At 48.8% G+C, this 24,976-nt stretch overlaps 1 protein-coding gene and 1 long non-coding RNA gene across 3 annotated transcripts in view, besides 1 other annotated feature; one reads left to right on the forward strand and one right to left on the reverse strand.

Annotated features, from left to right (window-relative positions):
* Positions 1 to 24,976, forward strand: part of KLHL29 (kelch like family member 29) — a 323,428-nt gene that overhangs the window by 209,801 nt on the left and 88,651 nt on the right. The window lies entirely within an intron of this gene.
* Positions 7,127 to 7,682: an enhancer, noted in NCBI's record as "H3K4me1 hESC enhancer chr2:23824976-23825531 (GRCh37/hg19 assembly coordinates)". NCBI's record gives its function as "activates a minimal SCP1, AML or CMV promoter by ChIP-STARR-seq in naive H9 embryonic stem cells {active_cell/tissue: H9 hESC(naive)}" and the evidence as "EXISTENCE:reporter gene assay evidence [ECO:0000049][PMID:30033119]".
* Positions 21,524 to 23,020, reverse strand: LOC102723401 (uncharacterized). Its single transcript, XR_427010.4, has 2 exons — positions 22,177 to 23,020; positions 21,524 to 22,028 (listed from the first exon to the last, which is right to left on the reverse strand). It is a non-coding gene; the product is annotated as an uncharacterized LOC102723401 (long non-coding RNA).

Here is a 24,976-nt window from a genome sequence, read left to right on the forward strand (position 1 = left end):
CACATAAATAATATAGTTTTTAATTTCATGAAGATTTAGTATTCGTGTGCTTTGTAAATTAAAGTCATCGTTTACCACAACAGAGACGGAGTGTTTGGAATATCCTGGTGGACTTCTCTGTCCATTTCTGGAGGATCACTTTTCCTAACTTTGGTTCTCTGTTGCAGGCGCCCAGAAAGAGGCACCCGCAGAGGGCCTGGGAAGGGAAGGGGCTGTGGGGTGTGGGAAGTGGCTGTGGGGTGTGGAAAGGAGAGGGGAAGGAACCCTTCTTTCCTGCAACGTCATTTGCCTTTCCATGTATTATAATCCTATCCCGTTTCTCCCACAAAACCCTACCAAAGCCAGCATTTTTGTCTCTGTTTTACAGAGAAGGGAACTGAGGTCCCAGCATGTTAACTAACTTGCCCAAGATCACTCAAACCCAAGTGACAGGTTCAAATGCTGATATTCCTGACCCAAGGCATAGCCCTTTGTTCTCCTACCTGCCCTCTCTGTGCCAAGGCTTGGGAAGGTGGGCAGATGTCTCTGCACAGGCCTGGGGCTGGACACTGGCAGAGGTACAGTCAGCAGTAGAAGGATGAGAGATGGACGCAGAGAAGGAGTGGGCAGGAAGGGTGGCAGGCAGCGGGCACTGCCAGGCTGTGGTGTGACTGTGTGGGTGCAAGTAGAGGGGAGCAGTGTCCTGGTCACTTGGGGGGCAGAGGACGTGACCTCCTAGGAGGCAGTGTCCCCAACACACAGCCAGGGGACTCCATCTGGACACCCTGGAGCCACCAAATCTTGCAGACTGCCCTCTGCAGGTCCTCCTCCATCCCTTCCCATGCTGTCTCTCCACCAGGATCCCAGCTCTCCCAGGGTGGCTGCTAGGCCAGTGAATTGTGAGCTCCCCACGCAAGCAGCATGCCCCTTCCAGACACCATGACTCCCTGTCTGTAAATCACTCTCCTGCATCCCCATCCCATCCCCAGCTAGTCCTGGGCGGGCTTCTTCCTCAGAAGCATTCCAGAAGGTTTTCACACTCCCCGTGGTTTGTCAGGAGGACACCGTTTTGTGGCATTGGGTCCACATTTGCTGCCAGCATAGCCTCTGGAATGCACGGCCTGCTTGGGGTTGCCATGGAGAAGCTGGGTCTGTTGGTGGTTTGAACTGAGCCGCATACAATAGAGCACCCTCGGCAGCCAGCCGGACGGGCAGGCCGGGGGCGGGGCAGGGCAACAGCCTTGTACCCTGCTGCCATCTGCTTTGACCCTGCCAGGCAGCTGCAGCCCTATCCCTTAGGGTTGTTGGCAGATTAAAAATGTAGTGGATTTAAATCATGCCCACCTCATTTTGCAAGGGTTTTCTTGAGTTCTCCTCCAGGCTTCAGCTACCAACACGCCCCTATGAGTCTCTGTCTCCGAGCAGAGGTCTTGGTGTCCTGGTGGCTGCATCCCAGGGGAGAGGAAGGAACCCGTTTCATAAGCGCACTCACGTTGGAGCAGAACAGAGTCACTAGGAGGCTCGCTGTGATTTATCAGGGGCCATGCCACACTGTCCTTGCACACAACGTGGCTTAAGTCTAAACAGAAAATAGACCTCACGCTGAGTCATCCTTCTCCATAATGGAAGATGAGATTGTGCTGGCGGGAACACATCATGTCTGGGGACGTATGCTGCCATCGTGGGAATGTGCCTCTTTAGCACGCCTTTAACCCCTATCCTGCAAGCATCTCCCTCTAAATGAGGGCGATAGGAAGACTCCGATGCTGGGGCAGAGCCATCTCTTACACACAACGGCGAAATTATTTTCTTCATCTCAGAAACAGGTTCCCCCAGGAGGACATAAATAAATAAGGGATTCCTGGTACATACTTTACCCATTTTTCAGATTTTCCTCCTTCTTACTCATGGCACTCATGTAAGTGCTACTTCTGGAGTGGTCCCAGCCAGATAGGTGCCTGGGGATACAGGAAAGCTCAGGGCTGCGTTTAGAATCAAATAGAGCTAATGGTGAAGTCTCTTCCCACTGAAAAGAGAAGCAAAATACTTTTCAGAGCTGGATCGCTTGCTGCTTTATATAGAGGGCTCTGCTTTTGGGGGACAAGCTCTCTCTGAAACCCAGGCCCACATATTTTATAAGTGTTCAGGGAAGACTGTCTTTTAAAAAGGTACAATTAGGCAGGCATTTGCTTATCATTTTTCCAATATAATAGGTAGAGAGATTGAGGTCACATCTCTGGGAAGAGTCTGATGAGGGCATTGTTTCCTCTGGGCCAGGTTGCAAACTTGCTACGTGTCTGTTCACCCATCTCGCTCTCAATCTATCTCTCTCTCTCTCATATATATATATATGTGTGTGTGTGTGTGTGTGTGTGTGTGTGTGTGTGTATGTATATGTGTATGTATATATATATGTGTGTGTGTGTATATATATATATATATATATATATTTTTTTTTTTTTTTTTTTTTTTTTTTTTTTTCTGAGACAGAGTCTCGCTCTGTCACCCAGGCTGGAGTGCAGTGGCACAATCTTGGCTCACTGCAACCTCTGCCTCCCAGGTTCAAGTGATTCTCCTGCCTCAGCCTCACAAGTAGCTGGGATTATAGGCATTGTGCCACCATGCTTAGCTAACTTTTGTATCTTTAGTAGAGACGGGGTTTCACCGTGTCGGCCAGACTGGTTTTGAACTCCTGGCCTCAAGTGATCTGCCCGCCTTGGCCTCCCAAAGTGCTGGGATTACAGGCATGAGCCACCGTGCCCGGCCCTGTTCACCCGTCTCTAAAATGAGGCTCTGTAAGGTTCCTTCTAGCCCTGACATGCTCTCAGTCTAGGGAAGGAGATGGGGAGCTCTTGTAGGTTCTTCTGCAGAGAAGATGCATCTTCCTGGTCCCCATCCCCGACCTGTGGTCTTTCCGCAACCCTGCCCGTTCATGGCCTCTGGGCTGGTCCCCCTCACTCCTCCATCTCAGTGGGAGAGATGCACAGGATGCCTCTGGAGCTGGTGCCAGGAGTAAGGCCCCCTTCCCATCCAGGGAACACTTGGTTCTGCAGGGCTTGGAGGCATCCGAAAGTCAGTGAGAGATGAGGCTGGGCCGCTCTGAAGTTCAAGGGTTTGGAAACGGTGTCCTGGGTACAAATAATAACCAGCCTGAGTACCTAAGAGGTTGGTAATAAGAGGCACAGTAATAATGCCTGGCATTTATTAAATCTTTACTACCTGCCAGGCATGAGTAAGTGCCTTGCACATATTTTGCATCAAATCCTGTAGGGCAGGTATTATTATCCCCATTTTAAGATAAAAAAAAACCGAGGGTTAGGGAAGTTCATTTACCAAGATCATTTGCAAAGTAACTGATCTTGCAAGATGTTGAAGTCAGGTCCCACTGACTTCAGGACAGAGTGGAAGAGTTTAACATCCTTGTGTTTGCCTCAAGCAAAAAGGAAAATTCAGATGATATTCATTGTACTGCATGTGCGCACACTCACATATACACTGTGCACAAACACACACACACCTGCCCTGGCTGTTCCCTGCCAATCACGTTCCCTGGTGCACAGTGCCTGCTACAGCCATGGACAGCTGTGTGGAAGTCATCACCACATAGTCACAAAAAGAACTGATCACCCCTCTCCAAGGACTGATCACAAGTTCACAAGCACAGTGGGGTCTGCAGCAGAGAAGACTTCCAGGCTGCTCATCCAGAGCACCTGTCTGCAGCCCCATGGTGGCCCAGGGGAGGGCTTTAGCAGAGGCCAAGGCTCCCTGTGTTTTGCTTATGACTGGGAGTGTTCATCATGCGTGGCCCCTGGGCTGTCTTTCTTCCAATAATGGGATGGAGCCTGATAGTTCCGAGTGGCCAGCATTGAGATGAGGCTTGAGGGTCTAGAACTGCAGTGTCTGTGTCCCCCAAGTCATAGGGGTGGCCCTCTTCGGCCCCAGAAGGCTGGGGGTAGAGCAGTGTGGGCAGTGGAAAGCCAGGCTTGGCCCGGAGCCCCATGAAGCTGCCATCGCCCAGCCCAGCTTGCATGAAACAAGGGCCATGGGAAACTCCAAGATTCCTGTCCCAGGCATTCTTTCCTATTTAAGGAGTATTTTTTACTTAAGCAGCTACTTTGGAGCAGACAGGGGCAAGAGAAATAGAGAATGGTAGGTTTCTCAACCTCAGAGGATGATGAAGATAAATGCATGTCCCGCAGAATCATCTGAAGCCTGCGGCAAGGACTCTGGGCTGAGCTCCAAGATACGGGTTCAAGGCCCGTGTTGCCCCCAGCCTTGCCTAAGTCTCTTAGCATGCCCTGGTCCCTGTTTCTTCATTTATCAAGTAGGGAAAGTAAAATAGCCCTTACAAGTTGGTGTAGAAAATGTCAAGGAGCTCTCCAAATGAGGAAACCGGGGCTTTTCTCATCCGTAATAACAAGAAGAAAAATTATAGAAGGAAATGTCTGTTTAGTTATATTTTCAACTATCATTGACTCCTAAAGTAGTGAAATATCTTTGAATAGATATTTTAAAAATATATACCTAATATAATGAAATATAAATATTTTTCTATATTACATTCTATATAAATATTTACTATATTTAATAATTTATCCTTATATGACATGTAAATATTTACATATATAAATATTTATGTACTTTAGTCCATGTGTGTACATATACACAGACAAAACACATATGCATATGTATTTTGGAAAAGTCAGAACAAGAAGAATTATAAATGAAGATATTGGCACTCAATAGCATGCATAATTTTTTTCCTCCAGCATTTTCGGTTCCGTGGATAGGGAGTGTGTGCATTACTGTTTGTAATTTAAAGACAAAGGAAACATGATCCCAGCTTCTTTGTGTGTGCCCGCCCGACGCCACGTCCCTCCTCCCGTGCCTCTGTCCGCATGCTGGTTTACATAGAGTAGCTCTGGGTCAGCCATGGCTGCCTGGGTTCCTCACTCCAGGGTCCTCCTTAGGATGTACCCCAAAGGCCCAAGCCCCCCATCCCCCTTTTCATTCTGCAGGGTGTGCATACACACGTGCAGGAGATACGCCACACTAACCAGAAGCTTGCTCCCTGTTTAAATGTGAGGCTAGGGTAGGAGGGAAGAGGACATGTATCCGCATATGTTAGCTAGAATGCAGCCCAAGCTGGAGGTTGGTGACACTGCAGTAATTGGAGGTAAGAGCTGTGAGGCCATTCAGATAAATTTTTGACATAAAAATGTAGGCTGGTTCATAAAAGGTTGCAGTGACAATAGGTTATAGTGACAGCTTTTCAACAATTTTCTAAGCCTCCGGATGGAAGGGGACTCAGCATAATGAATTATGGGTGGTCTGGACAACATGGTATCCTTTCATAGGCATGGATCTAAGGGCAGAATAAAGTTATCCAGGATGGCCCACATTGAATAACACTGTTGTTAAAACATGGACTGGAGAAGGAGAGAAAAGATTAGATGCTTGAAAGACTCAGCGACTGTAGCTGCAAGGCCTTGGTCTTGCAACCTGGGCACTGGGTGTTCGCAGCTCCCATCCTCCAGCGTAATGAGCACTTCATCTGCCAGATTCTAGGTTGAACATCACGCCTGTCTGGCAGGGCTCCCGGGCTTTCCTGCAAAGGGGGCGTTGTTCCTCTACCAGCTCAGCTGTTTGTGCGGTTTTGCCCTTTTGATTAAATTGCCTCTATCAACTCCTGGATGGGACTTGTGGGACCCTTCTTAAGTGGATGTCTTCTGGAGGGGAGACTATGCCAGAAGGAAGGGGGCTCAGAGAAGGAGTGGGACCCATCAGGTTGGGAGAGGGGAAAAGCCCTGGCTCCCACAGAGTCCTCTCTGCCAGAATCCACCCTTCGCCTCTGATCAGGTACTGGCTGCTCAGTCAGAGAGCAGAAGCAGCCACCTTTGATCCTGTCTTTACTTAGGTGAGAATAATAACAGCCAGTATGATAACAGAATGATAACCATCACTTGCTGAGTGCCTACAGTGTATGTGAAACTACATTAAGCACTTTGTATCATCTCATGTAAACCTCACAACAACCCTGTGATGTAGGTATTGCCATTCCCGTTTTATAGAGAAGAAAACTGAGGCCTAGAGAAGCTAATCTGCAGCTCACAGATGTTCAAATAGTTTGGAGTTGAAATTGGGGTCTATCCTGCCCCCAAGTTTGCGCTCCTGGCCACTGATTGTGTTATACTAACTCCTGAACACTCACGCTCCAAGACCGCACAAAAAGGCGTCGTCAAAAGGGGAGAAGAGTTTATGAGTGTCTCCCAGGACCATTGAGGGGGCCCGGCAAGTCGGGGTACAAGATTTGCTCAGCCGAGAAAATTCATTTTAAGTGGGTTTTGGGTGGGAGTAAAGCGTCCTTGGTAGTGAAATGTCTGTATTCAGTGACTTCAAGCTGGGCTTGTGAATTTATATGAATAATTTGTTAATGGCAGTTACAGGAGTTGAAGTAATTTACGTGGTCATAAGGGAGTAAAATTCTGCCCTGGAATGTGCATGTGTATTCAAGCCTCCCCCTCTGTGGTTTGCCACAGGAAAGCATGGCAGGTCTGAGGTCTTTGGAAGCCTTGCTCATGATTGCAAACGAGACCAGGCCAGGGTCTGTGAGAGCTTAGCCATGCACCCAACCTCATTGTGATGTCCTGACATCTTCTAGATTGCAAACATCAACGTGTTCCTTTGCATGAGACCACTGGGGTGGGAGGGTTACTCTTAGCTCTGAGATACCCAGTGAGAAGCGTGAGGGCACCTTCCCCACTCAGTAGTGCATCTGAGGTTGGTAGGTTCCCAGGCTAGCCCACCACACTGACTGACATGATCTTGTCTGATGGAGACCCAGGGGTTTCCATCCCACATCCGAGCATGTTGTTATTCATGCCCCAGCCTTTGCACAGGGCCGTGCTGTTTGCACACCAAGCCCTCCGCAGTGTGGGGGTGGTAGTGGAGGGCTCAGTTAATAGCTGCTGCTTTGATATCAGGCTGTGAAGGACACTCTTGGGGCTCTGGAGCCAGGGGAGGACAATTGACGGGGGCTGAGGCAGGGCAGAGGGAGCAGAATCCAGTGGCTATGGCAGTCACTGCCCTGGAGAAACTCACGAAGGGGCAGGGGACACAGCAAGGGTCCCCCAGTGCATCCCTGGTCCCCCTGTGCCATGACGAGCACAGAGTATCCACTGCTCATTTTCCCCAGAATTTGGAGACAGCCAGAGTGTAGGGCCTTTTCATCCTAACACACAGAGACAGCCCGTGCCCGTCGGCAAGACATGACGTCGTTCCTGTGCCTCCCAGAGCATCTCCTGAGTCATCCGTCCCAGCACCCCCCTGCCCCAGGGCCTGCCCAAAGCAGGCGTATTGTGTTACCCTTTCTCCTTGCGCTTTTCTTGGTAACAGCACTGGCTGCGGCTCCTGCACAGAGGCCTCCTGGAGACATTCTGTCCTGGTCGGCCCCAAAGGCTGGCTCTGAGTCAACACGTCCATCCCTACCCTGGAAGCTCTTCCTCACTCTGCCCAGAGTCCTGTGTGAGGCCAGTGGGGAACTTTTAGGAAGCCACAACAGGGGTAGGGGGTCAGGAAAGCTGTGACTGTGGCTTAAAAGCAGGTGAATGTCCCTCCTACCCAAGGGACAGCTCCAGGCAGCTGCTCTACGTGAATTTTTTTTTTTTTTTTTTTTTAAGGAACAAGGTCTTGCTGTGTTGCCCAGACTGGTCTCGAACTCCTGGGCTCCAAGCAGTCTACCCATCTCAGCCTCCAAAAGTGCTGGGATTACAGGCGTGAGGCACCACTCCCGACCTCTACATGGGAATATTCTGTCCTCACGGTCTGAATCCCGGGTCAAGGGAAGACCTGGAAGTGTATGAGGTTGGCTCTCAGGTGCTACTCAGGCCCAGCCCAGGGGAGCCACACCCCATTGGCTCAGTGAGATCAGGAAGCAGGAGAGGGTCTGCTCAGCCTAGGCCAGCTTGGACTTGCCAGCAATTCTGGGGCTTCATAGACCCCTCTGATTTCTTAGGAAAAGACATCACAGCTCTTGCCAATCCATGAGTCACTGAGTATGGCGTGAGCCACCCTCTGTGCCCAGCCTGATGGTGGGCAGTCTGGGGTGAGGTCAGGACAATGCCTCTCTTCAGGGTAGGTCAAAGTCAGGGAAGTGACCCCCCACCCCAGGGCAAACAAGGGCTCAGGAAAGCAGGTTTGAGGTCAGAAGTGAAGTTGGACAGCCTTCCCTGGACCCTGGAACCGTGAGAAATGCCCACCCTGTAGGAGTTTCTGTAGCTGCTGGAGCCAGAAAAGGCAGCCAGAGGTAGGGCCTCAATCCAGAAACCCCGTTCATCCCACGTGGCTGGATCCCACCTCCAACCAGCAGTCAAGGTGTTTCCTGGGCTGGAAGATGAAGGCTACAGCGGCGGCAGTCAGGGCTCTGACAGCAGGAACAGGGGCATGTCCTCTGAGTTCTTGGGGGACCTCTGCTGGGCCCTGAGCTCTGTGTCTCGGGACAAAAATCCCAGATTCCAGAGCTGAAGGCACTTCCCAGGTTTCCTACCCAGCCAGTTGCTTTCCAGGTGGGGTCTGAGGCCCAGGCCTTTTGAAAGGCCCTGGCACGTTTGGAATAAAAATTCTGAAAGTGCTGATTTTCTAAAAGAGGGAGATCGAGGAGGCTGGCCGGGAAAGCATACCCTTCCTCGGGTGCTGGAGCCCAGGAAAGCCGTAAACACTGTGAGTCCACATCCCAGCCCTTCCCTGTCTCCAGGCCAGTCCAGCATTGTGTCCAGCCCTGGGGAGCAGGCCAGGCCGAGGAGCCCTGGTGGATTCCATCAGAGGCCCTGGTGCAGCTGCATTCACGGTCCAGCGGGAAAGGAAGGCTGCACTCAGCCCATCCCCGAGTTCAGTGCAGGAACAGCTCTTACGGGGTCCCCACTGGCCACCCAACATTGTCCCCGTCTCCTCCAGAGGGACTGTGCCCAGAGGAGGTGCCCAGATTTGTGGCGAGGTTGACCATAGCACCATGAAGTCGGTTCTGTGAGCTCAGGCCTGGGTACTGGGTGCACAGTTCTAGTGTGGGTCTGGTCTTCAGTGCTCAGGGTCTGGGGCAGCCCCCGAGGGGACCGTGTTGCTATCCAGTGTGAAGCATCTAGACAAAGGACCATTGGACAACTGGAAGATCCTTTCTTTTTTGTTTTTTTATTTTTTTTATTTTTTTTATTTTTTTGAGACAGAGTCTCACTCTTTCGCCCAGGCTGCAGTGCAGTGGTACAATCTGGGCCTCCCGAGTAGCTGGGACTACAGGCGCCCGCCACCACGCCTGGCTGTATTTTTAGTTGAGACGGGGTTTCACCGTGTTAGCCAGGATGGTCTCGATCTCCTGACCTTGTGATCTGCCTGCCTCGGCCTCCCAGAGTGCTGGGATTACAGGCGTGAGCCACTGCGCCCGGCCTGGAAGATCATTTCTATTCTCTATAACTGAGGCAGTTGCTGCTGGTTACCGGGCTTGCTAATAAATGGCCCCACTGGGACGCAAGTGTCACAGGGGGAGAGACTTGACAGTGATGAAAATGACTGATTTCCTGGGAGACAGCATTCCCTCCAGCAGCAGCAGGAGCCCTGGAGGTGGCCTTGGGGGGCTTTTCCTTCTGGTTCTGACACTACCATGTCCTGAGAGCTCAGGCCCCTGGAGCACTGAGTGCCCATCTGCAAAATGGAGAGAGAGCAAGTCACTTGGAGTCATTTTAGACCATCATAGATCTGAGCAAGAGGCAGGGTGAAGACAGAAAGGAGGACCTTCTGAGGTTAGAGGGGACCCCTTCCCTGGAGGTGGTGTCCTTACCACGCCTCTCCAGTGCCTCCTCCTCCCTGCTCCTTGCTGCCTGTCGGCCTGAGGTCCCCATCCTGACCCATGCTTCCTGCCCCCCAGCTGTGGGCTGCAGCCAAGGCCAGGGAAGCAGTTGTCCCCTCAGCCGTTTGCAGTACAAGGGCCAGGCCCCTCTGATGGGGAAATAGGAAGGGCTGTTGGGAGGGTCCGCTGAGCGCCCCAACTCCACCTGGCCCTGCCTGCTAGATCAGGCCTGATCTGACCTGCCACCGCCTTCCCTGGAGTAAGGCCTCAGCCACTGGGAGGGCAGCGTGGCCCTGTTCTTTTTCCTTTGTTGCTTTTTTTTTTTTTTTTTTTTTTGGAGACAGGGTTCACCCTGTCACCCAGATTGCAGTGCAGTGGCACCGTCTCAGCTCACTACAACCTCCGCTTCCCAGGCTCAAGGGATCTTCCCATCTCAGCCTCCTGAGTAGCTGGGACTACACAGCCAGCTAATTTTTTAATTTTTTGAAGAGACGAGGTCTCACTATACTGCCCAGGCTGGTCTTCAACTCCTGGGCTCAAGCAGTCCTCCCACCTCGGCCTCCCAAAGTGCTGAGATCACAGGCATGAGCCACCACACCCCGCCTACCTGCCCCTTATGGAGCGACTTCCACGCGGCTCTTGTATCACAGCTGAAGGAGGCTTCATAGGGCCCAGACCAGGCCTTCCACAGAACACAGCCCCCGGCGCCCCAGGAACTGCGCATGGTGAGGGACCGTAAGAAGCCCTTGCCCTTCATCTTCTCTCAGTTTTTGTTGAGCTACAAAGTCGATTTGGTATATTTTCAGAACATGTAACTCCTTAGTGATTAGACTGCCCATGAAAATAGACACATATCCTAGCCTCTAGGCCCAAAAGAAAGAGGAACTATAATAAAAGCAAAGAAGTCATTCAAGCCCTCCTCCTTCTCAGGTGCTTAGCACACGTGAAATCCTCCAAATCCTCAGGAACTGGGAAAACCGTTTTTTTTTTTTTTGAGACAGGGTCTCACTCTGTCGCCCAGGCTGGAGTGCAGTGGTGTGATCTTGGCTCACTGCAACCTCTGCCTCCTGGGTTCAAGTGATTCTCGTGTCTCAGCCTCCCAAGTAGCTGGGATTTTAGGCACCCACCACCACGCCCGGCTAATTTTTGTATTTTTGGTAGAGATGGGGTTTTGCCATGTTGGCCAGGCTGGTCTCGAATTCCTGACCTCAGTGATCTGCCCACCTCAGCCTCCCAAAGTGCTGGGATTACAGGTGTGAGCCATGGTGCCCAGCCAAGGGAAAACCTGTCTTAAAGGACAAGTGAGAGTATGGGAGTTTCAGGTGGGGGGATCATTCCGTGAGCTAGTGTGTGTGTGTGTGTATGTGTGTGTGTGTGCGTGAGAGAGAGAGAGAGGGAGAGAGAGAGGGAGAGAGAGAGAGAGGCAGAGAGAGAGAGAAAGGAGAGAGGGAGGAATGAAAAGAGATGATTGATTCCAGAACGTTCCCGGGCCTTGCACACAGCCTGCTCAGGAAAGCTGGAAGGTCCTCCTCCCAGCCGCTCTGCTGCTGGGTGCAGGGGTCTCTGGCCTCCTTTGTTTCACGTCCCTTGTGTGATTGCAAGGCGCCCTTCCTGTGACTCACTGTGTCCTTGCCTTTCCCAATTTCCAACTCAGTTTAGCCAAGGGATCTAAGGCACGGGGTTAGGCACTGCCTCAAAGCATCTTAGGAATCTGCCCAAAATTCCGTGTTCATCCTGACCGATTTAACAATTAAAGGATCACTTTATGAAATTCCTTGTCTTATAAACGCAATTAGCAGTTTTAATCTCCTGAGGGAACAAATCATTCACTGCTTGATGGGAGTTGGTTTTATCAGAGAATTTTGCTTCTAAAGTTAAACTGAAATAAAAGCAGAGGGGAAGAGGAGAGTCATTTATGGGGCATCTGAGGGCAGCTCAGGGAGAGCAGAAGGGAGCTTGATGCTTGCAGAACCCACACTCAATGGCAGGCACTGTCCTAGTCCCTTAGACACCCTTAGCTAGGGCTTATCTTAGCCCATTCAGGCTGCCATAACAAAATACTGTAAACAGGGTGGCTTAGAAACAACAGAAATGTATTTCTCACAGTCCTGGAAGATGAGAAACCCACGATCAAGGCACCGGCCAATGTGGTGCCTGGTAAGGGTTGGGCCTGGCTCATGGACAGCACCTTCTAACTGTACTCCATGGTGGAAGGGGCAAGCTCTGGTCTCATGAGCCCCATATGAGGGCACTAATCCCATTGGTGAGGGCCCCACCCTCATGACCTAATCACTTCCCTAAGGCTTCCCCTTCTCATACCATCACACTGGGGGTTAGGTTTTGACATGGATTTTGAGAAGACACAAATATTTAAACCACAGCAGGGCTCTGCCACCCACAGACCAGGAGGTGGTGACTCAGAGAGGGCCTGCAAACTGCCCAGACCACACAGACCAGGAGGTGGTGACTCAGAGGGGGCCTGCACACTGCCCAGACCACACAGGAGCTCAGAGATCAGCTGGGGATTTGAAAGGTGGTCACTCTGACCCCAGAGAAGAATCTCTTCCCACTGCCCCAAGCTGGGAATGCCAAAGGGAAGATGGGATTGAGAAGCAGAGGGGATGCAGAAAAGGCTGCCCAGGAGAACCATTAGCAATCCATTTTGGTTTTTTAGTCTTGAACCAAATGGAAAAGTTACTTTTAATGAAATATCTGAAATCCAGTCATACCCTATCTTATACATATTTGGGACTACATTCTTTAGAGCAGGGGTCACCCACCCCCACAAACCAGTACAGTCCATGGCCTGTTAGGAAACAGGTGCACAGCAGGTGAGTGGCAGGCAAGCCAGCATGACCACCTGAGCTCCATCTCCTGTCAGATCAGCAATGACAATAGATTCTCATAGGACCGTGAACCCTATTGTGAACTGTGCATGTGAGGGATCTAGGTTGCATGCTCCTTATGAGAATCTAATACCCGATGATCTGAGGTGGAGCAGTTTCATCCCAGAACCATCTCCCCACACCCCCAGCCCCATCCATGGAAAAATTGTCTTCCACAAAAGTGGTCCCTGCTGCCAAAAAGGTTGGGGACCACTGCCTTAGAGAGCTCTGAACTTGTTTCTTTTGTGAGCAAGCCTCTGTCATCATGTGAACTGCCGTTCCCCCAATTTATATGTTTAGTCACTTTAGATTCTCTCACACTCATCTCTTTCTAGGGACCCCGGAATTGTCCCAAGATGAGGAAGGAGGGAGGGCGGGAGGGTGATTCTCCAGCCTACAGGTAGTCAGTAGTTGACCCAAAATGTCACCTTTTGTTGTCCACACAAAGACAGTAATTTCCATCTCCATTCCCAGCATGATGGGAGGGAAAAAGGAATGCACAGAAGTCATTTGGAGGAAGTTCCCACATACAGAAGAGAGTAAAACTTTGTCTGTAAACATGAAAATAACAGCATCTGCTGGTGAAGTTTTGGTCTTTTATTTTGTGTTCTCCTAAACATATCTATAGCTTACTGTCTGTACCAGGAACTCCCACGCGCCTGTGAGGTCTCTTGCCTGTTGCCCTGACTTGCAACTGAGTATTTCATTTTTGTGTTCATCCTTCTTCCCCTACAAGACTGCAGTCTCCTTGGAGGTAGGGCCCAGTCTTTTTTTTTTCCTCTGTCTTATCTTCTATGCCTGGAATATCGTAGGAGCTCAGAAAATGTTTGTTGTTTTGTTTTTATTCAAAGTTAGAGCTATAATTCACAAAATACACACCTCACATTTACTCTGTTAAATTCTTCCTTTAATTGAAATGCATTCATTTGGAGAAAGCGATGCTGATAGGAAGCAGATAACTGGAGAACCGATGATTTTCTAAGTGCTGTGGGCCCCTTAGGATGTGAATTACAATATGGAGCGTTTAGATACCAAACCCATTGGGGGAGGCACTGAGGATTATCCATTCTCGCACAGAGCACTCAATACAAACCCCAACTCATATTAATTAAAAATTCTAAATCACACAATTGTTTTTTTCTACGAATACTTATATGCTCTGTTTTATCACCATTAATAATAACGATAAAGATAATAATAATAATAAAACTACTGTGTGATTAAGGTGCAGATAAGCAATTAGGAAATAAAATATTTACAGGTTTTTAGGGAGCCCTGTGCTCAGAATGGGAATAGGATAATTACAATGGAGGTTTAGTATGAGAGCTCATTCGAGAAGATTCTCCACTGAGAGTTGAAGTCAGTCACTGGGTTCTATTTTGTCTGTGATTCTATCAACCTGTTCCCCTGATATCAGTCATTTAGTCACTCATTCATTTGACACAGATGTATTAAGTGTCTCGAACATGCCAGGCAGTGTGCTAGATGCTGGAACATGAGGGTAAATAGAACATTCCCCACTCCTGTGGTCTAGGGGTGGTTATGGCATTACAGCCAGGAGGGAGATGGCCTGCAGTGGCAGGGCACTGTGTCTAAGTCGAGGACTATAGGATGAGTTGGAGAGCTCCAGGAGAAAGTGTGGGAGAGAGAATTCCCTGGAGACGCCTGGTGAAGAGTTGTAAGCTTGGTGCTTGTGAGGACTGAAAAGTCATTGAGCCCTTTCACTGGAGAAGGCAGCAATCAGAGATGAGCTGGAGAGGTGAGCTGGGACCACATCCTGAGGGCTGTGGGGAGCCACAGATGGGTTTTTGTGAAATAGAGAGCAGGTGTGCTCTTCAGAATGCGCCCCCCTCGGCTGGTTGTGGAGCGAGGGAATAGGAATCAAGGATGCCTGTGTGGAGCCGGGTGCAGAATTTCATGATAACCGTGGCCTAGAGATGGGTAATAGTGAGAAAAGGGGGAATGGGGGGATTTCAGACATGCATGACAGATGATGATAATAATGATGACAAATACATAATACGCTCTTACCATGTGCCAGAGCCTACTACAAGCACTTTGCGTGTTTATTTGGTTCAACCTTCCAACAAAACCCGTGAGGTAGTGACTTATCCCCATTGTATGGGTGAGGAAACCCAGACACAAAGAGATTAAATAGTTGGTGCAAGACTACACTAATCTAAGTAGCAAATGGGAATCAGACTCCTGTTTGGATGTGAACCCACCCCTGACCCCCCACTTCTTTCCAGAGCCCATGGTCCACACTACTGTCTTCAGTGACATGGGGGTACGGGAGGTCCATTACTCAGGTAGGGAGGGTAGGCAGAGCAGATGAGTTGCTTTTGTGACACATACCCCTGACAGTCCCTCAGGGATCACATGGTATCAGAAGCAGTGGAGAGTCCTCATCCCTGGCTGGCCATCTCCCCCACCCCACAAAGCCCTTCCTCCCAACACTTGGAAATAAAGCCTTTCAACTGGATGCTAGTAGTCAGGGACTGTCTTGGGGTGGGATGGGGCGATACTGCTGCTGGGTCTGTTGGGCCCATGGCCAGGCCTCAGCTCCAAACTCAACTCTTGCTGGCCTCTCGGTACTGAATTGCACCTTGCTGTATTCGTTCTGGTGTGCTTTGGAGAACCAATTGATTTCCCAGCTCCCTATCTTGTCACTATCTGAGTGAGCTTTTATGGAGAATCTGCTGCTCTTTGAGAAGTTTCATGGACATTTTCTTCATCTTTTCCTGGAATGAAGTTCATAAATTGGTGCTTTAAGAGGCTTGGTCCGGAATGAGCTGCAGGGAATGGCTAGTTTAAAGACGTGGTCATCTCTCCTCAGTTCCGCACTTCCCCATAGGCCCTCTGTCTGCATTTTCACTGTGGGACTTATGTGGCTTCTGACTCTGAAATTTTCAGTTTCATCAGTCATGATCAGCAGATTGCCTCTTGCCATCACTCCAGACTTGTCCTTTGCAAGGCTTGGTCCTGGGACAAGAAATAGCCCTGTGTGGTGGGGCGGGTGCCCTGAAATGCTATGCAGAAAGCCTGGGTCCTAACTGTGTCTCAATTCACTACAGAAACTGGGCCCAGATCACCTTCCATTCTGGACCTCACTCGCCCCTGCAAAAGTAGAAATGCAAGTTCATGTTGTTGGATAAATATTTGCAGCAGTAAAGTAAGATAATAGATTCATGTATTTATTCACCATTTATTAATCACTTATTCTGTGCCAAGCACAGTTTCAGGTGCTTTGGTTAGAGTAATAAGCAAGATAAACAAAAATTACTGCCCACATGGAGCTTACCTTCAAGTGGATGGAAAGACAATGAATAAGTAACAAAAATATCTAGTATGTTAGATGGTAATAAGTGCTGGCGAGTTCCATGTTCAAAATGATCAATGAGGAAATGCTGACCAAGCCTTCTGTTGAAGATAGTTAGAAAAGCAGGTAGTGTCTAATAACCATTGTCTTGAAGGCATTGGAGAGGTAACAAGACACGGTGAGCTGCTATTCGATTCGGGTCTGGGAAGCACAGAGGCCCGTGGAGGTAAGCCTTATGCTTACAGCCAGTTTTCCTCTAGGAGTATTTGGCAGTTCTTAAGAGACAGATGAGAGCTGAGCAGGGCGCTTGACAGCAGGCTTGCAGGGTCAGAGGACCAGGATTGGAACCCAGAGTCTGCCAAGGGGGCCAGTGGGTTCCAGTGACCCCTGTACTTTCTTTGGCCTGGGACTCTGAAGGGCTGCACACTGGGCCCTCTGAGGAGCTGCCTCTCTGCTTCAAATCCTCTGGGTTCTCCAAAATGAATTAAGGTGATCCCGTATTACTAGTATCCCTAGGTGCCCAGCAGAAGCAGACAAATAATCTTAGGAGAAAGATACCATCTTGACCTCAAATTATTTCTAAAACAATGTGCAAAGGTAGAATCTGTAACGTAATTTCAAAAATAATCAGATACAAGGAGACCACAATAACAAATATCAGTAGAAACAACAGAAAATAGAAAGACCCATAGGGGTTCCAGATATATTGGAATTCTCAGACACAGACTTTAAAATAACTCTGCTTACCATGTTCCAGATGTTAAAAGACCAAAATTGGAATTTTCAGCAGAGAACCAGAAACTATATATCTTTTTAAAAACCCAAATGTAAATAACCACATAATACCCCAAATTAAGAATTCAATGTCGAGTTTAACAGATGCAACCAAAAAAAAAAAAGGATTATGAACTGAAAGATTGATTAGAAAAAAAAATCCACCTTAAGTAAAGAGAGACCAGAGAAAAAATGCAAAAAAAGGCGGGGAGGTGGGGCAGTAGGAGTTAAAATGAAAATGTCTAACACACGTATAATTGGGATTCCAGAAAAAGAGGAGGAAGAAACTGTGTCAGAAGCAATATTTCAAGAAAATGGGTGAGAACATTTCTAAACTGTTGAAAGATATCAAGTCATAGATTCAAGAAACACTTTACAAGCAGGATAAATGAAATCTAAACCAAGGCATTCAGAGTAAAACTGCTGAAAATTAAAGACAGAGAAAAATCTAAAAAGCAGGTGGAAGGGAAAGACAGATTACTTTGAAAAGTACAATGACAAAATATATAACTGACTTCTCAATAAAACATTGCAAGTCAGAAGTCAATGGTGTGATATCTTTAAAGTGCTAAAAGAAATTGCCAGCTCGGAATTCTATACCCAGTGAAAATGCCCTTAGAAGAAAGAACAAAAATAAGATTTTTTTAAAAAGTTCAGACAAACAGTGAAATAATTTGTCACCAGAAAGCCTGGCTGGGTGTGGTGGTTCATGCCTGTAATCCCAGAACTTTAGGCCGTGGCAGGTGGATCACCTGAGGTCAGGAGTTGGAGACCAGCCTGGCCAACATGGAGAAACCATGTCTCTACTAAAAATACAAAAATTAGGTGGTCATGGTGGTGAACGCCTGTAATCCCAGCTACTCAGTAGGCTAAGGCAGGAGAAATTCTTGAACCCGGGAGGCTGAGGTTGCAGTGAGCCAAGATCACACCATTGCACTCCAGCCTGGGCAACAGAGCGAGTCTCAATCTCAAAAAAGAAAAGAAAAGGAAAGAAAGCCTGCACTGAAGGAAATCCAAAAGTACATTTTTCAGGCAGATGAAATTAATTCAAAGCAAAGGTTAGAGTTTCAGGAAGCAATGAAAAGCAACAAAAAATGTAAAAATAAGGCTATAGATAAATAAATATCAATTGTATACAAAGATAAAAAATCTCTTATGAAACAACATATATAGAGAGAAATAAATGCAAAAAAGGCTTAGAAATGGGGTGGAGAACAAATGAAATGAAATTATTTTAAGGCCCTTGAATTGTTTTAAGGCCAAGGAAGAGAGTATAAGTATCAATATTACACTTCAATAAGTCAAGGATGAGGGATGTAATATCTATGGATATTACAATGAAATACAAAATACCTAATCCAAAAGAAGACAAAGGAGAAAAGAATAAAAGGAACACAGAACAAGTGAGACACAGAGAGCATTAGCAAAATGATCAATTTAAACCTGAATACATCAGTAATTACATCAAATGTATATGCTCTAACCAAAAGACAAAGCTTTTCAGACTGAAATTTTAAATTCTCACTCTATGCTATTTATAAAAAACACATTAAAAGAGAAAAGGTATAGAAAGATTAAAGGGAAAAGGGTAGAGGAAGGCAAAAAGATATACTATGCATAAAAGCAGGTGTAGCTACATCAGTATCACACAAAATTGACTTTAAGACAAGAAACAATACTTCATAATTACTATTTTTTAAAAACCCATCCTTGGCCGGGCACGGTGGCTCGTGCCTGTGATCCCAGCACTTTGGGAGGCTGAGGTGGGCGGATCACAAGGTCAGGAATTCAAGACCAGCCTGGCCAACATGGTGAAACCCCATCTCTACTAAAAATACAAACATTAGCCGGGGGTGGTGGCACGCGCCTGTAATCCCAGCTACTCGGGAGGCTGAGGCAGGAGAATCGTTTGAACCCGGGAGGTGGAGGTTGCAGTGAGCCGAGATCGCGCCATTGCACTCCAGCCTGGGCGGCAGGGCAAGACTCCATCTCAAAAAAAAAAAAAAAAAAAAAAAAAAACCCACCACTCTCAGCTCACCAGGAAGATACAACAATTGTACGCATCCAAGAACTGTGAAAGGAAAATAAATCTTGGGACTCCAAAATCACTAAGCTGAAGGGAAAAGTCAAGTTGGGAACTGCTTAGAATCAACCTGCCTCCCATTCTATCCCTTAAAAAAAGATAAGTACTAAGATTTTAAAAACAAGCTACATACCTCCCTCACAAGGAATTTCCTTGTGGACAAAGGACAGATAGAACTGAAAGTCACCACTCTGCTCACTGAGATAGATGCGTATCTGACGGCCTCCTTTGGAAAGGCTAATCAGAAACTCAAAACAATGCACCCATTTGTCGCTTACCTACCTATGACTTGGAAACCCCCTTCCTGCTTTGAGTTGTCCCACCCCTTTCCAGGCAGAACCAATGTACATCTTACATATATTGATTGATGTCTCATGTCTCCCTAAAATGTATAAAACCAACCTGTGCCCTGACCACCCTGGACACATGTCATCAGGACCTCCTGAGGCCGTGTCACTGGCATGCGTCCTTAACTTTGGCAAAATAAATTTCCTAAAATGAGACCTGTCTCAGATACCCAAAGGGTTCACAGAACATAGAACATAGCCTCAAAATATAAAAGGCAAAAATTGACAGAACTAGAAGGGAAAAAATGAATTCACAGTCACAGTAGGAAATATTTAACACATTCTCTAAACAACAAAACAAACAGACAAAAATAATAATAATAAAGGTATAGAAGATTTGCAAACACAATTAGTAAACATGACAACGGCTTAGAGAATATTGTACATAAAATCTAGGGAATATGCGTTCTTCAGAATCACACACATAATATTGATAAGTGCAATGGAGAAAAATGAATAAGGAGTGTTAGCTGTGAGATTTGAAATAGTAGGGTTCGGAAAGAGCTCTCTGTGGTTGCCTTTGAGCAGAGACCCAAGGAGGTAAGAAAGGAGGTCACTCGGGTCGCTGATCGCTGAGGGAGGAACATTGCAGGCTCCAGGCTGAGGCAGGGTGGGCTGGTGTGTTCAGGAAACAGCAGGGACCGCAAAGCCATCCGGTGGTGGGAAGATGTGGGCTGTAAGCCCCCAAGAGAGGGGCGCCCTGGGCCCTGGGCATTGATGATGGGAATGGAGTGTGCTGCTCCCTGCAGCCCCAGGTCAGCTCCGCCTCCAGCAAAACAAGACTCCTCCAAAGCCCGTTCCAGCCATCAGGTCCTTCTCTCCCTGTCTGCTTAGCCCTCTCCCTAGAACCTGCGCTTCCTTTCACAGCTCGGCGCTTCTTCCACGTCCTATCCAGTTGCCCTTTCAGGAAAGACACTGAACCTGGTGCCTGGGGAGCACGCACTGTGGGTCTGCGATGAGCCAGGCCTTCTCCTGGGCTTCGGCTTATCCTCACAAGCCCGGGGGCAGGCTTTGTTATTAGCATTTTGCAGATGAGAAAACTGCTGCCTCGACTTCTGCTCTTGTGTAAATGCAACCTCCTCCTAGAGCCTCACTCTCACGTCCATTTTCACTGAACCGGGTGCTGCCAGGGACCCCACTTCCAGAGGAGGTTGCTGCCTCCCCAGCCACCCTGGGACCATCCAACCTGGGATCCTGAGACACCCTGAGTCGTATCTCTGGGGCCAGAGAACAAGTCAGGACACTCGGAGCATCTCATGTGTGTCTCTGCTGCAGGGAGCTCTGAGTCAGCCTGTAGAAAGGGGTGCGGTGGCCAGGGAGGACGTCCCCGGGCTCTGTGTGAGCCGCACTGCCTCTCACGGTGGACCTGCGAGCCGGGCCGGAGCACCTGCACTGGTGCTCTGGGCGGAGGGAAGTTGCTGAAGTTGCACTTTCCATGGGCTGCCCACCCCAGCTCCTGGGGCCCTCTGAGAAATCCCATTATTCCAGTCTAGGGGGCTTCACATCCCCAGACCCCTCATTTGCAGCCTGATGGTTATGCACCTGTTAGGGTCACTGCGTGGACACAGACCGTGCTGAGGATGTCAGATTAGAGTGAAGTGACCATGACCTTGTTCAGCTGCGCCAGCCTTCCTGCACGTCAGCGTCGCTGTTCCTTTCTCATCAGCACAGCCAGTGCCTATGTCTGTCCCCTGTCAGATGAAAGATGGCAGATATTCCCTCCCCAGACCCCCTCTGCTTCTCTTTTGGGAATCAGGCTCACTGTGGCCTCTGGGCTTCCAGTTCTGGTGGCCTTGATCCCTCCTCCTAAGGGACCCAAGGGTCAGTCCCCTTGGAGCTCTCAGCAAGGAAGACCTCACTGGACCTATGGGTCCTGGCCTGGAGGGTGGACCTCTCTGCTATTGGCCACTGAGCCAGGTCTGCTTCTGCCATGCTCCCCTAGTAGCAGCCTGACCATGAGGTTACACCCCTTACCCTGTCCTCCCACACTCCAAGTCTGCCTCTCCCTCCTCAGCCTGGGGTTCTGTTCTCTTGAGCCCTACAAAAAGTTCATACTCAGCCTGGGGTTCATTCTTCTCTTTAATCCTGTGACAGAAAGGCTGCGGAGGTTGTGGGAGCCTTGTAATGCTCATTTTACCTAAACTAACCTTTCTTAAATTGGGGGAGCCAGGGAAAGATGAAAGGAGAAACACGCACACACACGGCAATGTAAGTTAAAGAAAAAAACATTTACCAAGTCTCTAAATGTTGTCCTCGCCCCGCATCCTATTCTGCTGAATAAAGAAAACAGAGGTGACTTCGGGCTTTTTAAAATCAAGATTTTATTAAAAAGAAACCGTTTCAATCAAGCAAACAATTCACAAAGACATTTTCTAGAATAGTGAGAATAATAAAAACCATCATTTTTGGAGAGGCCGATTCCTTGCCAGAACCTGGGGTCATGGGCTTGGCACCCATCATTCTTGCGCACCCCATGAACTGTAAGAGAGATCTTATCCCTTTCTGGAAATGAGCGAACGGGTTCAGAGAAGTCTAGTGACCTGTCCAAGGACACAGAGCCCCTGAAAGGTAGCTCTGTTGTCTGCACCAAGTCTGTGTGACTCTGGCACCGTTCCCGGGGTCATTCACAGCAGGGCCCCGCTCAGACCTCGGCGGGCAGCGAGAAGAACACATGGAGATTCTGACTTCCAGCACAAAGGGGCATCCTGCCTTGTGTTTTTGTTTCCCATTTCTGAGCATTCTCTCTGAATTACAGCCGTGACCGCCGTATCGCAGCGTGTTTGCCCAGCCCGGTTTGAGTTGTAAGCTGGTGAAATAGAAGAATCCTTGTGAAAATATGAACACACTTTTATTTACCAAAGGTAAATGAAACCTTTCACTGTTCTGAAGGGTTTCCATTTTTCTGTCTTTTGTCTCCTCCCTTTGATTACCCATAACATTAACCTTCAAACAACCTGGCAAATCCGAGTCTGATTTCCCGGCAGCCTCCTCCTTCAGCCAGGCAGGGCACCTGTTGCAGGCCCTCTTGGGATCACCAGGCAGAGAAGCTTCCCTGTGCTTCACACCCACTCACGCCTGTCCCCCCGTCCTGGGGGAAGGCAGTTCCAGGCTGGCCCATGGTCACTGTGAAGCGCTCCTACTTAACAATGCAAGTAGCCATCCCTCTGTCCAGCTGGCTTTGACGAGGCTCTGCCGCCGCAGCTTCTTGCCCGTGGCTCTGTGATGGGGAAAAAAGGAAGGAAAAATGCGTTCCATGCAGGGCCTGTCACTGCCGTAGAAACAGCAGTATTATTTTCAGGGATGTTGCGTTAATAGGGGAAGGCTGTTTCTTGGAAAATACTGCCTTCAAGTACTGTGACTCTTTTCAGGTTATATAAAAGGGCATTAGGCAAACACTCAGAAATTCAGCAGCTTCCTTGGTTGGGAGTGTGGAGGGTGGGTGGACCAGCTCCTGTGCACCTCCAGCGGCAGCCACGCAGAATACGAATTGGCTGCAGTTACCGTCCTCATCAGCCCGCAGTCTGGATAGTATCAGCAACAGGAAAGGTTACAGCTTTTCCTGTGATGTATTGCTTCTTCAGAGAGTATTAAAGATGTTTTGAATCTATTTTTTTAGGAATCTTGAAACCACCAGTGGAACATTTTTGCTGTTGTGGGTAATGCACAACGTAGCAGCGTAGGAAGGCCGGGCCGCGAGAGGGAACCGAGGGTGTTGGAAGCACCGAAGACGGCGTCCGTTGTCATTTTAACAGTGAGGAAGCAAGTGAGGCAGAGCATATGCTGAGGTGTGGAGCAGCTGCGACTGGGAAGCGTGTTATTTCTTTTATTTGCTGGGGGGCGGAGAAGAGGCAGACACCGCATCTCCTGGGAGTGGGCAGGATTTATTTATTGGGAAGGGAGTGCCAGAGGAAAAGTTCCGTCATCATGGAAGGAATTCTCCAGCCCTGCTTAGTATTATTGTTTGGGCCTTTATTTATTTTTTTTTTCCTGCCTTGACACTCCCTGCCCAAAGCACAGATTCAAATAAAAATTGTAGCCAGAGCCAATGTCTTTGTAGTAGATGGTGGGACAGTGAATTTTACATGTCAACTTGACCAGGCCACAAGGTGCCCAGGTATTTGGGCCAAAGATGATCCTGGGTGTGTCCGTGAGGGTGTTTCTGGATGAGATTAAGATTCAAATCAGTAGACTGAGTAAAGCAGCTCGCCCTCCCCAATGTGGGAAGGCCTCATCCGATCAGTCAGTCGGCCTGAACAGAACAAAAGCTGACCCTGCTGTAAGTAAGAGGGGTTTCTCCTGACCGCCTTTGAGTTGGGACATTGGTCTTTTGCTGCCTTTGGACTGGAACTGAAACATCCGCTCTTCTTGGGTCTCAAGCCTGCAGGCTTTTGGACTGGAACTATACCAGTTCCCGCTCCTGGGTCTCCAGCTTGCTAACTGCAGATCGCGGGACTTCTCGGCCTCCATGGTTACAGGAGCTGATTCCTTATAATAAATCGTATATTATATATATAATTTCTATGCTATTAGTTCCGTTTCTCTGGAGAACCCTGGCTGATATAGAAGGCATCCATTAAGGCAGGGGTTGAAATCTTAACATCTTTCCTGAACCCATAGCTTGATCAAGCTACCTGTGTCCTCTAGGAGAAGAAAGGGTGACTGAATCCCAAAGTATTTGGAAGGAAGCCAGAGAAAAGCTCTGCAGCCACCACTCCTCTCTGCTGAGAACATCAGAGGCCGTGAACTGTGTGAATAGAAATGAGGATGCCTTGCCAGACAGCCCCCTTTACAGGCAGATGCTGGTCCTTCCCCTCCAGGGGAACAGGGCTTGGAGCACAGATACAGGCCTGGCAGCCACAGGCCCCTCGGCCCAGGGAAAGGCAGCCTCTCTGTTGCAGGTGGGAGGCTCCAGCTACAGCCTCCAGCCATTGCTCCCTAGACGTGGTGTCCACTCCTTGCTCACCCCCTGCTAGAAGGTAAAGGAAAGCATACATGAAATGCTTTTAAGCAGCAGGTCTGTGACTCTTCCTGCAGCAGGTGAGGCTCTGAGCTAAATATGTCACACCTGGGGTCTTCTGCGGGGCTGGATCGAGAGCGGGCTTCTCCTGCAGTGTGAAGGGTCTGGTTCCAGCCTGGGCCGCTGGGGAAATTTTGAGGGTGGTGGGTGTTCTCAGAGGGGTCTGGGGCCTCACAGTGATTGGAGAGTGGGGAGAAATGGGTGAGGGAAATGAGTCCACTCATGGAGGCCTTAGCTGTGACTCCTTTTGAAATCTGAGCATCCCAGGGATGAGGGCACTGACACTGATGTGAGGAAATTAGGCCCCAGGGCAGCCGAAGCAGGCTGTGCCCATGATAACAGCAGAGACTGCAGCCTAAAACTCTGAACTGACTGCTGGGGTGCAGAACACAGGGGAGAAGCCTCCTCCCCTTTGGTGAAAAATCAATGTCTGGTGTCAGGACTCCCCTATTAACAGCTTGATTAGAAAGGACTCAGAAGTTCCTTTGCCCTGGAATTGCACCAGGAAAAGAGAAATGGAAGCACGTCTGGGGCGCTGGTAAAGCTAGCAAGGGCATTAAGTCCAGACTGCTTCATCCCAGCCTGTTAGTGCCTAGTTCACACTCCCAACTTTTCCTGAACACCTACTATGTACCAGGCCTTATCCTGGAAATAAGGCATGGTCTGTCCTCCAAGGAATTCATAGTATAAAGTATGGGGTTGAGCAAATAGGACTTAGAGTCCAGTAGCTCATACAG

This window comes from Homo sapiens, chromosome 2 (genome assembly GCF_000001405.40).
Source record: "Homo sapiens chromosome 2, GRCh38.p14 Primary Assembly".
Taxonomy (NCBI): Eukaryota; Metazoa; Chordata; class Mammalia; order Primates; family Hominidae; genus Homo; species Homo sapiens.